Genomic DNA, 15,524 nt, shown 5'->3' on the forward strand with positions numbered 1-15,524 from the left:
TTCTGCCCAGTGGTGCTATACTCAATCACACTGTTCTAGAAGAGTCTTATCTGAGCGAAAGCTGTATTTTGAGTTCAGCAGTGGAGCCCCTGTTTCACTCACTCATTCTCATCATTCTTAACCTTGATTACACCTGAGAATCTTCTGGAGACCCCATGCCCAGAGGCCACTAATCTGTTGGCCTGTTGTGGGGATGGGCTTTTATATTTTCTAAGTACCCCAGGTGATTCTAAAAGACAGCCATAGTTGAGAACCACCAACAGTTGATCCATAAACACATATGGAACACTGGTTGAAGGCTAGGCACTGGGTGAACAGAGATGTCCTCCAAAAAAAGCTTCTACCTAGTATGGAAAATATAAAGGTAAACAGATGATTCAAATGAGCTCATTTCAAGTGTTTGTTTTTGTTATTTTTTTAATTTAACAAACGTTTATATCACTGTCCAGTTGCTAGGCAATGTTCTAGGCACTTTATAAATTTACAAATTTAACCAGTTTAGATCTCAGACCTTAGAACAGTGGTGAAGGTATTATTACTATCCCCATTCTCCAGATGATGTAACTAAGACACATGGAGCTTAAGTAACTTAGATAAAGTCACAACATCTCATCAGTGACTGAGCCAGGGTTCTGACCCAGAGAACTGGACTTCATGTTTCTAACCACCATTCTCTGAAGGCAGTAGTTCCCACCTCATAGTAGAATTTGTGCAGGACACAGATTCTTGGCCCCATTCACCTCCCCTCATACCCCCTCCACCCTTAGGTTTTGGTTCAATCAGCTGAGATGAGACATGGGAACATACATTTTTTTTTCACATGTCCCAGGTGATTCAGACACAGGTGTCCTGGGGACTATCCTCTAAGAAACTCTCTTATTAAATAAGGTGTGGTGGTTTTAAATTGTGTCTACAAATGCTATGACACTCCCTCTAAAAAAATGAACCCTCCCCTTAAGAATCAGCTGAACTTAGTGACTTGCTTCTAACAAACAGAATACAGAAGAAATGATATTAAATAATATGTGATAAGTGGCTTCCAAGAGGAAGGGGCAGAACAAGGGCCAGCCCTTGAGCCAGGTGAGATATGAGAAGCACCAGGATGTACCATGCAGAGCATAAGAGACACTGCGGCTTCCTCGTTGCCCTCTCTTAGGCCACTCATTTTGGGGGAAGCCAGCTAGCTGCCCTGCTCTGAGGACACTCAAGCAGTCCTATGAAGGAGCCTGCATGGAGAGAAACTGAGGCCTCTTGCCAATAGCAGTACCATCTTGACACCCACATGAGTGCACCGTCTTGAAACTGGTCCCTCCAGCCCATCTGGCCTTCAGATAGAGTGACCATACATCCCAGCTTGCCTAGAACAGTCCTGGTTTATCCTGTTGACTGTGCATTCCATGCAATTTACCATTTGTCCTGGATAAAACTATCCTAGTTTAACCAATGGTAAATGATATAGTTATCCTGTTGAGGAACCCAAATTGCAGGCTAAGGCATTTGGACTTCACCCTGGAGGCTGTGGGGAGCCATGGAAGGGTTTTAAGCTTAGGAGTGATCTCATTCCAATTGTGTTTTAGAAAGATCCATTTGCAGAAAATGCACCAGTGTGCGGGAGGAACTGGTATGGAGGGTGGACTGGTTTGGAGAATGGGTGTGGAGGCTTGACCAGGGGAAAACAAGATGAGAAGCCAGGGAGGAGATAAACACAGTCCCTCAGCCAGAGTGGTCAGTGATCATGACCGCCTATATGAAGGCTGGAGCAGTGGAAGATGGGGTCACAGTAAGTTTAGGAAAACTTAGGAGATATTAAACAAACTTGGCTGCGGTAAGAGACAGAGAAGCAGCAGCCAGGGGTGATTCTGAGGCTATCAAGGGGGTATGGCCCCCACATTTCAGAGCCCAGAGCTCTGTCTAAAAATAGCTCTCAAATGAGTCACCTCAATTGCAGCCAACAAGGAATTGGCTGGTTTGTTATTGAATTGCAGGATGTTTGGCCAAACGGACTGAAACCATGTGTAGCCTTGGCTCGAGAAGTTCCCACTGGACCCAGTCTCTTGCTAGGGGCAGTGCCATAGCCCTGATGCATGCATAATCTCACTTTCTTCTCACAACAAATCAGCGAGAATGCCATAATTTCTTCTCATTTATCAGGCCTGATAGAAGCTGCCAAATGCTTCTAGAATGTAGGCTCTGTAGGCGGCGCAGCCAGAATTCAAACCCAGACCTCCTCAGATATTTGGTATCAGCTGGAAAGAGGTTTTTTTGGGTAAAATCCCTAGAAACATTCTCTTGCCTCCTTCCAGCTGGGATACATTGGCTGAACTCGAGTCACCCTCCTAATAAAAATTCCATGTTCCATCAGCAGAATGCTTCCATCCCAATTAGATCAATTTTCTCTAAGTAGCAATAAATGTGCTTTTCTTTCAGAGGCCAGCCCGACACATTAAGTAGGCTTGGGGCAGCCATTCCCCAAGCCTCTGGCTACGAGTGTGTGGGGTCAGGGGTCACAGCACCACCACCTCCAGCTCATTAGTGGGGCCCATTCATCTTTGCTGGGACACCAGCACTCAACATGGTGGCAGGGCTCAGGGTGGGGGTGTGTGGGCAATTCATCAGGGACTCTGGTTCGCCAGAGACAGGAGCAGAAAAGCAGGCCTGCTCACAGGCCGGCAGGAGCCCTAGGCCCAAGAGCTGAGAACCGGAGCTGCCTGGTTAAAGGTTAACCTGGTCTAGGATGTCTGTCTGTAAGGACTCACAGCCAGCTTGTAGGGAAGGAAGGGCCCAGGGCAGGCTCCTTTCAGATGCATCCGGCTCCTGCCTGCTAACAGTTTCCCTTCCGGCCAACTCCCCAAGCCGATCCTTGAAATCCATCTAAGCAAGGCCTACAGGGGCCTGGAGAATGATACTGTCACTCTCCTGTGGTGCGGGGACCTGCCTGGAATAGGCCCTTTGATTTGCAAATCCAGACACTGGAAATGGGAGCCTAAGAGAGCCCCACTCTATCCTGCCCTGCCTGGGCCACTGGGCCTGGTAGAAGCTTGACCAAAAGAATGAGACCTCTCAACTTCCCCAGGACTAAAGCTCAGCCTGCATCAACCTGTGAACCCACACACACAGCCCAAGTCACCCTGAGCCAAGCAGAACTGCAGCTCTGGACATGGGATTCTCAGAGTGGCATGGTAGTAGTTTGCTACGGATGCTGTATTGATGTACCACAAACTAAGTGGCTTAACAGATATTTATTCTCTCCCAGCTCTGGATGCTAGAAGTCCCAGATCAAGGTGCCAGCAGAACCATGTTCCCTCTGAAGGAGCTAGGGAAGGTTCTGCTCCAGGCCTCTCTCCCAGCTTCTGATAGTTCCCTGGCCTGTGACAGCATAACTCCAATCTTCACCTGGCGTTCTGCATGTGTGTGTATGCACCTGTGTTCAGATTTCTCCATGTGTGGTGTGTGTGTGTATGTGCATGTGTGCAACAAGGTCTTGCTCTGTCACCCAGGCTAGAGTGCAGTGGCACAATCTCAGTTCATTGCAATCTCTGCCTCCCAGGCTCAAACAATCCTCCTGCCTCAGCCTCCTAGGTAGCTGGGACTACAGGTGCATGCCACCATGCCTAGCTAATTTTGGGGGTTTTTTTGTTTTTTGGTTTGTTTTGTTTTTATTTTTTGTAGAAACTGAATTTTGTCATGTTTCCCAGGCTGGTCTCCAACTCTTGGGCTCAAGTGATCTGCCCACCTCCGCCTCCCAAAGTACTGGAATTATAGGTGTGAGCCACTGCACCCAGCCCAGATTTCTCCTTTTTCATAAACACACCAGTAATACTGGATTAGGGGCCCAACCTACTTCTGTATAACCTCATCTTAACTAACTACATCTGTAAAGACCTTATTTCCAAATATGGTCTCATTCTGGGGTACCGTGGTTAGGGCTTCAACATATGAATTTGGGGGTACATACAGCCCCAAAGAGCCCCATTAACTCTTCCCCCTTTGGGCCATGTGAGAGGCAAGCCTCGGGGATCCTCATTCATTTGGCAAATGTGTATTGAGCACCCATCAGGCCCAGTGCAAGGTACTAGGGGTACAGTGGTAAGCTGGTGTCTGCTCTGTGGGTTCACAGGTGGCAGGGGAGACAGGGACAATCAATTACAAAAGCAACTGTACAATTACAAATTGTGCTAGGAGCTCTGAAGCAGAGGTGTGAGCAGCTACAAAAGTGCAGAACCAGGTCACACTCCAGGTAAGAAGTCGAGCTGGGGCTGGCATCACAATAGTGTAAGCATCCTCAGCTTCCCTGGGCTGTTCTGCAGTGCAGCTGACCCCCACCCACAGCTCCTCCTCTCCTGGCTATCTGGCCCCTTGGTTATCTGGCCCCAACCCCTACCCAGCCTGAGGTCTTTCCTAGAAGCCAGATTCATGGCATCTGAGCAACCTGCCCAGGAACCACCGCTGGAGGTAATCTTTCTGCAGAGCCCACGGGCCTGGCAGAGGTCTCCCTGATTGACACTCACCCTGGATGAGCCATCCTCTCAGCAGCAGCTCATCCTTCAGCCTTCCAGGCTCTTGCAGCTCCAGCGGCATCTCAGTTCAGCCCTGGGACTCCAGCACAGAATACACATTCAGATAATGACCAGTAGGTCTTGGACCCAAATGTCACCTCCTCATGGAAGCTTTGCTGACCTGACTCCTCCAAGCCCAAACAACTCCTCAACATCCCCACCTCAAATGAAACTAAACAATGGATTACAGAATTAGCTGTTCTGTATCTGTCTCCCCTAGAGACTGTAAGCTTTACAAGAACTGAGACAACTTTCTCATCCACCTCCATATGCCCCAAATCCACCCTGTGCCTGTCACATCATGGTGTTTTGTAAACGTGAGCTAGGTAAATAAACAAAATAATTAATTATTTAGTCAACCTCCTACTTCTTTCTACCAAAACCACAAATTGAGCCACGGGCTTGATGCAAGTCCACGGAACTCCTGACAGTACCAGGAAAACAAAGACATGGAATGAGAGAGATTGTGTTCAGGATGGAGGGAACAGCTTGAGCAAAGACAAGAGAGGGAGGAAATGCTAAGTGGGTTTGGAGTGAGTATTTGGTTTGGCCAGAGCAAGACTCAACTGTGCATGGCCTTGAATGCTGGACTTAGGTGGTGGTTACAGGGTGCCATGAAGGTTTTTGAGAGGTTGTGGCATGATCAGACTTGGGCTGTGCTGATGCGGAGAGCAGGTAGCTCCACAAGAAAGTACAAAACGTGGGGCCAGAGATCAGGAGAGAAGTTTGGGCGAAACCAAGGTTCAAGAGCTGTCCCACAAAGAAGGCAACTGAGGTCACTGAGGGAGAGCAAAAAGAGGGGTGAAATTGTACAGAATCTGGGGACAACTGTAGTGCAGAGAAGATGGGTTCAGGAAGGGCAATATGATCAGGAAAGCAGAGGAGTGACCAGAGAGAGGGGAAGAAAGCCAGGCCTGCCCAGCATGCTTGGAGGGAGGCCCCACCTTTCCTCATGTCCTTCTGTCTGCCCACTGTACGGGGCAGGGAGAACCAATTTCAAAATCTGACCCCATCAAGAACCAGCTGTAACACCTGGGCAAGTGGATGTACCTCCAGAAGTCTGTTTTCCCATCTGAAGATTGGAGCTGGACAAACTCAACCTGCTGGGGTATAAGGAATGTGACACATTGAAATATTATTGCCAGTCCCAGCACACAGCTGCCTCCTGGGTTTTCCAGCAACACGGTCCTGGTCCAAATCAGCAGCATTTCCCAACCTTTGCATTGTAGACATTTTGTGCTGCATGAGTCTTTAATGCCCACATGCATTGTAATCTTTTTTGTTTTATTTTTGTTGTTGTTGTTGTTGTTGTTTGTTTGTTTGTTTTTGAGACGGAGTCTCGCTCTGTCCCCCAGGCTGGAGTGCAGTGGCACGATCTCAGCTCACTGCAAGCTCCGCCTCCCAGGTTCACGCCATTCTCCTGCCTCAGCCACCCGAGTAGCTGGGACTACAGGTGCCCGCCACCATGCCCGGCTAATATTTTTTTTTTTGTTGTATTTTTTAGTGGAGACGGAGTTTCACCATGTTAGCCAGGATGGTCTCGATCCTGACCTCGTGATCCGCCCGCCTCGGCCTCCCAAAGTTGCTGGGATTACAGGCGTGAGCCACCGCGCCCGGCAATGCCCACATGCATTGTAGGGTGTTAAGCAGCCCCCCTTGGAACAAAAAATGTCTCCAGTCATTACCAAGTGTCTGACCCCTAGGGAGCAAAATTGCCTCCAATTGAGAACCACTGGTGTAAACCATGAAAGCTGTAGGCAAGTGTCTCCTACTGCCTCTGTTTCCCAGAGGAGGTCCTATGTGCCCATGCCCTCATGCATTCAATCAACAAACATTCTCTGAACCCTTTTTCTATGCCAGACTTGTGCCTATGTGCTGGGCCGTGAAGACGGCACTGCATAGAACAGTGATCCTGCTTGCAGGGATTTTACAGTTACTGAAGGAAACAATTTTGATACAATGAGATCTCTCAGCAGGGTAGGCAGGATAATGGCCCCCAAAGATGTCCATGTCCTCATGCCCAGAGCCTGTGAATATATTACTTTTTATAGCAAAAGGCACTCTACAGGCGTGATTAAATTAAGGAACTTGAGATGGGGGATTATCCTGGATTATCTGAGTTGGCCCAATGTAATCGCAAGGTCCTTGTAAGTGAGAGGGAGACAGGAGAATCAGAGTCAGAGAAGGAGATGTGATGGAATCAGCAGTTGTCCGAGTCAGAGAGATGAAGCTGCTATACTGCTGACTTTGAAGATGGAGGAGGGGCCATGAGCCAAGGAATGCAAGTGGCTCTAGAAGCAGGAAAAGACAAGGAAACAAATTTTCCCCTAGATCCTCCAGAAGGAAGGCATCCCTGCCAACACCTTGATTTTAGCCTAGTGAGGCACACTTCAAATATGTGACTCCAGAACTGTAGTCTGTGGTCATTTATTACAGCAACAATAGGAAACTAGTATTCACAGTCACACCATTAAGCACAGGGAACTGTAGGATCTCAGGGAAAGCAACAGGGCTGCCACGTATAATTATCCAGGTAGCACACTGCCAAAAATTTGCCAGCTGAGGAGATGAACGCGGCTGAAATTTGGCCCACACTCCACTTGCCAAGCCGTGAGCCCTTATGAGGACTGTGTTTCTGAGACAAGGAGCATCTTTTTCCGATGTACATACAGGCATTTTTCATTTGCTAAAAGATGTGTCCACCCAGGCTTGGGGAGGAGGTCTTTCCTAATTTGCACAAAGGAGCTACCCAGATAACTATGGCCCTGGCAAGAGACTCTGACTCTTCCTGGGATAGTCAGAGAGGCCTTCACAGAGGAAGTAACATCTGAGCTAGATCTTAAAGAACAAACATGGAGCCTGTAATCCCAGCACTTTGGGAGGCCGAGGCAGGCAGATCACTTGAGGTCAGGAGTTCAAGACCAGACTGGGCAACATGGTGAAATCCCGTCTCTACTAAAAATACAAAAATTAGCTGGGTTTGGTGGCAGGCACCAGCAATCCCAGCTACTCAGGAGGCTGAGGCAGGAGAATCACTTGAACCTGGGAGGTGGAAGTTGCAGTGAACCGAGATCTTGCCACTGCACTCCAGCCTGGGTGACAGAGCTAGGTGACAGAGTGAGACTCAGTCTCAAAAAAAAGAACAGACGTGGAAAGAAAGTAGAGCCATTCTACGAAAGAGAATAGCACAAAAGTCTGTAGGGGCCTGATTCACTTAGAGGAAGAAGAAGGAGCTCCACCTGGCTGGAGCATCAGGTACATGGAGGAGATGATTGGGAGATGCAGAGTTCAGCTTGGGATGTGCAGAGTCTGAGGGGACTGCGGAACACTCATGGAGTGATGTCTAGGAGGTGGCCAAATGCCCATGCCTGGAGCTCTGGCAACAGGGCTGAGCTGCTCCACACCACCCTCCTGATGCCATTCCAGGGAGCCCACCTTGGACCAGACTAAGGCCCCCATCCCACCAGCCCAGCCCCAGGGACTTCTCCCTGGCTCTCGGGGATGCCTGGCTGTTCAATGACTTGCTTTTAGGGTCTAGTAGTGTCTGTCCCTGCAGTGGCTCCACTTCCTAGCACTTAACTCTAAGACAGGTATTTATGGTGCCTTGACCTTCCCTAATATATTGCTACAAGGTAACGTGGGCCAGTCCTGCAGTTCTGGTCATCCCATGGCCCCTCCCTGGGCCTGAGCAAAGAACAAGAAAAAACCATCAAGCTGGTCACGAGGTTTGCGATACAAATGGCAGTGAGTTGTTTTCAGGAGGCAAATGGGCCCCCACAGACTAATGGCTTTCAGTGGCTCCCTCCCCCTCCCTCCCTGAGCTTCCCCCGCCCCGGTCCAGAGCTGGCCCAGCTGGGAAGCTGCAGTTGCTCCAGCCACCCCCACCCCCCAGCCCTTTTGCTGACAGTATAACCTTCAGGAACCTGAAATTCCTGAGTGGTCCCCAGAGCTCCATGCATCTTGAAAGAAAATTTGTGTAATGTCATTTCAGGCTGTCCCTAATCCAGAATTATTGAGGGGGGGCTGGGACCTGGGAATTGCCTCTGACACTTGACAAATACTCAGCTTTGTGTAAATGGACAGGCTCCTGAAATAACTGCCTTTGGATGTCATATGAAGAGAAATTAATTCTTTATTAACTTCCGCAATGATAATCTAATAAACCCATCAGGCCTCCAGGCCCCAACATTTAAAGAGCTTGGTAGTTTGGATGCAAATGTCTCCTGACCCCATTTTGTCGGGAATATGTTCATGGAGAGGAGGAATAATTGACTCTAGAGGTCAGATGTCAGCTCAGAGTCAAAACGAGTGACTTTCATGGCTCCACACAGACCTGAGACTCAGGAGGTTTGGCCTTTCCTGTGGCCACCAGCTGTTCTGGATTTTCTGCGATGGCCCTTAATTTCAGGTATTCTGTCCCTTTGTTCCCCAAAGAGCATTTGTTCTGGTCAGACAACAGTCTCTGGTTTTTATTCAGATTGTGAGGTCACCAGAGCCCTCACCCGCCAGTACCAAGGGGCCGTTCATATATTCTTTAACTCTTAGGTGCGGCCAGGTGCTGGAAGGAGGAATGCAAGGCTTCTGTCCCTGGGGCTTATGGTCCAGTGGGTCCGGGGGAGGGAGGAGCAAATAAAAGAATTAATTGAAGTTATAAATTGAGGGCACAGTGGCTCATGCCTGTAATCCCGGGAGCTTTGGGAAGCTGAGGCAGGAGAATCACTTGAGGCCAGGAGTTTGAGACCAGCCTGAGCAATAAAGCAAGACCCAATCTCTACAAAAAAAAAAAAAAAAAAAAATTAATTGGCCAGGAGTAGAGTAGCTGTAGTCCCAGTTAATTGGGAGGCCAAGGTGAGAGGATTTCTTGAGCCTAGGAGGTAGAGGCAGAGGCAGCACTGAGCTATGATCAAGCTACTGCACTCCAGCAGCCTGGGTGACATAGCATGACTCTTTATTCTCTCAATTAAAAAAAAAAAAAAAAAAACTAGGGGAAATGGTATGAGGGCAAAGGATATCTCCACTTCTCCTTAGAGCTGAGCCTGGATCTCAGTCACCACGTGAGTCCACAGTGTGAGCAGGCAGCCTGGCCAAAAGGGCTCTTGGGTCCCTCAGGCCAGGCCTTTCTGGTGAAGTCCAGGCTCCATATCCCTACCATCAGCACTGACAGAAACAGAAATCTGCACGTCCATCCTGGAGGCAGGAGAAGGTGACAGGAGGTGCAGGGGCCTGCCAGGGCAGAGAAACCAGAAACCCCCAGAATGCCAAGGGCAGAAGACCCCAGCCTGATCTGGTGTCTGACTAGTCCCTGTTTGCACACCTCCCACAATGGTGCACTCATTACTGCTCAAGGAGGCCCCCTGGGAAATGAGTGACTGCACAAGTTCTTCTTGAACAGACCAATGTGTGTGTGTGTGTGTATATATATCTTATATGTAAATATACATATATGTAATTAGCACATAATAAAGCTATATCACAAACTAGTGAATAAATGAAGAATTATTCAATCTGTGATACTAGAACCAATGGTTTAACCATACGGAATCCCACAGAGATTTAGAAACTCAGTAAAAATGTAGCAAAAAAACTAGAAAAAGAAAATGTATATGAATGACATTTGAGAGTAGAAAAAGGATTCTCTAAGCATTAAAACACTCGAAGAACTCACGAAAGAAAAGATAATGAATGTGACTACATAAAAATTTAAAATTTCTCTCTTATAAACTTGAGCATGATAATCAATACCACTTCTTAAAAGGGGCAAAGGTCAAAGCAGATAATTCACAAAAGAAGAAATACAAACAGCCAATATACATGTGAAAAAAATGTTCAATCATGCATATAATCACAGAAATGCAAGTCAAAACAGCAATAAGATGCCATCATTCACCTATCAAATTGATTTTTTCTTAATTGCAATGATATTCAGTGCTGGGGATGACAAGATGTGCACTCCCTCACATTGCTGGAAGAGGCGCAAATTGTTACAACCCTCCTGGAAATCAGCTTTCTAACATGTATCAAGGACTGTAAAATTCTTTCTACTAGACTCTTTAATATACAAAGAGCATGGTTTCAAAAGGAGGGAGAAATGGTATAGATTAAGAGAGACTTGCAAGTTGCATCAACCAAATGAAAAACGTGGACTTTCATTTGGATGCTGATCCAAACAAGCTGGCTCTAAAGAGACATTTTTTGAGATAATTGGAGAAAATTGAACATGGCCTGACATTAGATAATATTCAGGAATTATTGTTCATTTGTGTAGGTATGTTAATAACATTCTGGTTATGTTTTTAATAAGTTATTTTACCTATGGAGAAGTAAAACAACTTTTGCAGGAGAAATGATACAACATCTGGGACTTGTTTTAAAATATTCCAACAAACTGGGGAGGAGATGGATAAAACATGATTGTCAGAATGTTAGTAATTGTTGAAGCTGGGTGATCCATGATGGGGTAGGAGGGCCCATTATACTATTCTCTCCTATGTATAGCCAGAGCTTTCCTGTAATAAAAGATATTTTGAATATGTCAGTTGAGCCAGCCATCCTTCTTTGAGATTCTATCCTCAAGAAATTATCAAAGATCTGCACATAATTTGCAATTTTAAAAATATGGAACCAGCCTAAATGCCCATCAATTCATGAGTGGATAAAGAAATGTGGTGTATACCATGGAATACTATGCAGCCATAAAAAAGGATGAATTCATGTCCTTTGTAGGGACATGGATGAAGCTGGAAACCATCATTCTCAGCAAACTATCACAAGGACAGAAAACCAAAAAACGCATGTTCTCACTCATAGGTGGGAATTGAACAATGAGAACACCTGGACACAGGAAGAGGAACATCACACACCAGAGCCTGTTGTGGGGTAGTGGGAGCAGGGAGGGATAGCACTAGGAGATATACCTAATGTAAATGACAAGTTAATGGGTGCAGCACACCAACATGGCACATGTATACATATGTAACAAGCATGCACATTGTGCACATGTACCCTAGAATTTAAAGTATAATAATAAAAAAAAAGAAAAAAAGAGATGTGGTGTATATGTGTGTGTGTATACACACACACACACACACACACACACACACACACCATGGAATGCTACTCAGCCATAAAATGGCGTGAAATAATGGCATTTGCAGCAACCTGGATGGAATTGTAGACTATTATTCTAAGTGAAGTAACTCAGGAATGGAAACCCAAACATCACATGTTCTCACTCATAAGTGGGAGCTAAGCTATGAGGATGAAAAGGCATAAGAATGAAACTTTGGGGACTTGGGGGAAAGGGTCAGGGGAGGTAAGCAATAAAAGACTACACATTGGGTACAATGTACACTGCTCAGGTGATGGGTGCACCAAAATCTCAGAAATCACCACTAAAGAACTTATTCATGTAACCAAACACCACGAGTTCCCCCCAAACCTACTGAAATTTAAAAAAAATAAAATAAAATGTTAATTTCACAATAAAATGTGAAAAAATATGCAGAAATTTTTTAAAAATGTGCACAAAGATTTATGTACATAGATACAAATGAGAAAACTGGTCATGAAAGCAAAAAAAAAACAAAAAGAATCAGTTATAAGCAAAATATCCCATAACAAGTTATGGTACAGACAAAGAGCTGAATATTAAGCCACCATGATAAAAAGATATTTTTAAAATATCAGAAAATGCTCATGTGTTAAGTGGGGAGGAAAAAAGCAAGATACAAAATTGTATATTCACTATGATCCCAATTACCTTTAAAATGAATATAGTTGTGCATTTTTTAAAAGGCCAAAATGTTAACTGTGGTCATCTTTGGGAGGTATAATTACAAATGATTTTTATTTGCTTCTTTAAACTTTTCTCTATGCAATAAGGTGGAAAAAATGTAATTATCTTAAGACATGGTGCCAACATTCCTCTTAGGAAAGAAACTAAGTTGGAGAAACGCTTTGATGAGCACATGGGCTAGAAGCTGAATCCCTGAGGCCTGGACCATGGGGAAAACTGATGCCAGGCCAAGCTTTGTCTCAGGGTAATATTGGCAGGGGGGACCCTAGGAAGAGGGGAAAGCTTGGAGAACATAAACCACCAGGAAATGCACAGAATTCCTGGCAAGTACACTGAATACCCTCCCCTTACAGAACGGAGCAGTCTAGCTCATTTCACCTGGAACTCTGAAAGGTAATGTCTCTCTCTCTACACCTTAGCTGACATCTCAGTAACCTGGATGTTCCAAGTTCTCTACAATAAGCAGGCATTGCTTCTACAATCAGAAGAAAGCAGTGTTTTATTTTTCTTTTTGAAGGAAAACAAAGTTTTCTTTTTCCCAAGCTGGAACTTGCCTTTCTGGAGCCACCCCCTATTGTTATTACCTGGAACTATCCAGACCAAGTCAGCGCTGTCTCTCACCTGCAGCCTCAGTAGTTTGAAGACAACATTCGCTTCTTCTGTCTACTCTAGTTCCTCTGATCATGTGTTGCTAATATTGCTGTGGTTCTGAATCTCCTCCCGAGGTTAAGTTATCTTCTCTAGGTGAGCTCTAGGAAACCTGGATCCTGTTTAAATTCTAGTACATACACCTGAATACAAGACATCTGACCAGTTCAAGGTAAAAAGTAACTATCACCTCCCTCAAACTAGGCTCTATACTTCTAATGATACATCCTATAGCTATATTACATTATTACTGACTCATATTATGTCAATTATTAAGCTACTGTCTACCAGCTTCAAACCTACCCTTCCAAGCTCTGCTTTCTGATGCTAGAACTGAGACTCTGTAAACCACATTTTTTCTTGGCCAGAAGGCTTCATGTCAGGCTTAGCCAACAGGGGCACTAGAGGGAGACTGGAAGGCTGAAAGAGGAAGAGGCATGCTCCTTCATGCTTCCTCTCTGTTCATGGTTTAGCTCCTGTTCCAGGTAGCTTTGTCTCAACGTGCTACTTTACCCTGGCAGCAGCATTTAGTTCCAGCAACTGAAACTGACTTCAGTTTTCAGTTTTTCAACCCTTGCAGAACCAGTCTCATCACGTCCCCCAAAAGACACCAGCACTTGCCAGCTGGCATTTCCTCCTCAGAGGTCTGAGTCCCAGCTCCTTGAGGCTCTTCCTCCCAGTTTCTAACTTTTAATAATACCAACCTCTTCCCTTTGTTCCCTCAGCCCTCAATGGCTGCTTCCTGCAGTTGCTCTCTCATAATATCTCAATGTGCAAACGTTTTGCCTTTTCAGCTTTCTGATGACAAATGGTCTTTACACAAAATTCTTCCTGTTAAGATACCTGGTGTGGTTTCTGTCTCCTGATTGGACCCTGACTGATACACTGCTGCTGAGTCTCATCTTCCCCCACTGTATACCTAGTGGGTGATTTTCTAGATGCAACTGTTAGATTTCCTCCTGGTAGGTTTTAACATAGCTTCAGCCTGTCAAGAGATGGTCAGATCCTAATCCTGTCTTCCAACGTGTTTACTATCCCTTCCAGTATCATGTCATCTACCAGTGTGATTAACCTATGCTAGAGCCCTGATCCACATCACTAATTAAAACACCACCTAGGGTGTTTTAATTACAGGCATGGTGGCTCATGCCTGTAATCTCAGCACTTTGGGAGACTGAGGCAAGTGGATCACTAGAGGTCAGGAGTTCGAGACCAACCTGGCCAACATGGTGAAACCCCATCTCACAAAAATTAGCGGGGCCTGGTGGTGGGTGCCTGTAATCCCAGCTATTCTGGAGGCTGAGGCAGAAGAATCACTTGAACTCAGGAGGTAGAGTTGCAGTGATCCAAGATTGAGCCACTGCACTCCAGCCTGGGCAACAGAGCAAGACTCTGTCTCAAAAAAAAATAAAAAATAAAATAACACCCAGGACAGAGGCCTCCGTAAACTGAAGAACTCCCTCACTTTCCCCCAAAGCACCCCCCAAGAGGCTTTCCTCATACCTGGATACTAGTGAATCACATCAGAGCTGAGAGTTCTAGAAAGCCTTGTGTGTGTGAATCTTCCTGACACTGCAATGACAGTGAGTAGGGCCTGGCTGGTGTCAGCTGTCATGGCCTAGGCTCCCTCTGGAGAGGATGGATCTCTACAGTGAGAACCTGGTGCATCACCTGGAGAGCCACACCCTAGATCTGGAACAACTAGGCCCCCTTCTCTTGGAATTCACTGACCCAGGTCCAGCGTTCATGCTCCTCACTAATTTCACAGCAAAGCAGCAGTGCAAATAATAGCAAAAGTCTGTTTTGTAAATTGCATCAATTATATAATTTTCCCAGGAATGATTTTTACATATAATTAGCTCAAATTGTCTTACAAAAACTAAAAGGAAGTTGCATCCAAAAATAGCACATGGGTTTTGGTTTACCTTAATTAGAAATGCTTCCTTTAAAATGGAAATAAGCAATCTTGCAAATCAAAGAGGCTCCAAGGTCAGGTTTGGGGACCCCAGAATCTCTTGGGGAATCCAGGTGGTTCTTGGAGGATAGATCTTCTTGGAAAGAGGTTTTTTATTTAGTCAAGAGACGGTCACTCCAGGTGGTCTCACCTCTGGTGTTGGGGAGCAAGACTCTCAGAAAGAAAAGAGACATAAATCATTAGCACACACGCCCTTTCTTCCAAGCACTATGCTTGGTCTAGACCCCTCCACGTGGCTTATATGGTCCTCACAAAGACCCTGCATGCCTTAAAACTGAGGCAGCTGAGTTTTCTGGGGTTGCCATGTTTGCCTAACACTACAAAGGCAGGAAGTGTCAAGGCCTAGAGCGCAACCCAGCTTTCCCCCATCCTTCCTCTCTAAACTGCCGTGATAACCACAGAATATCAGTGGCTTTGCAAAATGACATTTATTTCTCCCTCAACAAAAGACTCCCAAGGGTATAGCTGACTGAGCAGCTCTCCAGGAAGTTATCCCCAAGCAAGGACTCCAGGATCCTGGCCCCAAGTCCCTCTTTTTTTCTTTTCTTTT

General features: G+C 45.9%; 1 annotated feature.

The window, feature by feature from the left end:
• Positions 6,380–6,583: a silencer, noted in NCBI's record as "fragment chr20:39502077-39502280 (GRCh37/hg19 assembly coordinates)". NCBI's record gives its function as "represses an EF-1alpha promoter that drives an FKBP-Casp9 reporter gene in an ReSE screen in phorbol 12-myristate 13-acetate-treated (for megakaryocytic differentiation) K562 erythroleukemia cells {active_cell/tissue: K562(+PMA)}" and the evidence as "EXISTENCE:reporter gene assay evidence [ECO:0000049][PMID:32094911]".

The sequence above is a fragment of the Homo sapiens genome, chromosome 20, assembly GCF_000001405.40.
Source record: "Homo sapiens chromosome 20, GRCh38.p14 Primary Assembly".
Classification (NCBI taxonomy): Eukaryota; Metazoa; Chordata; class Mammalia; order Primates; family Hominidae; genus Homo; species Homo sapiens.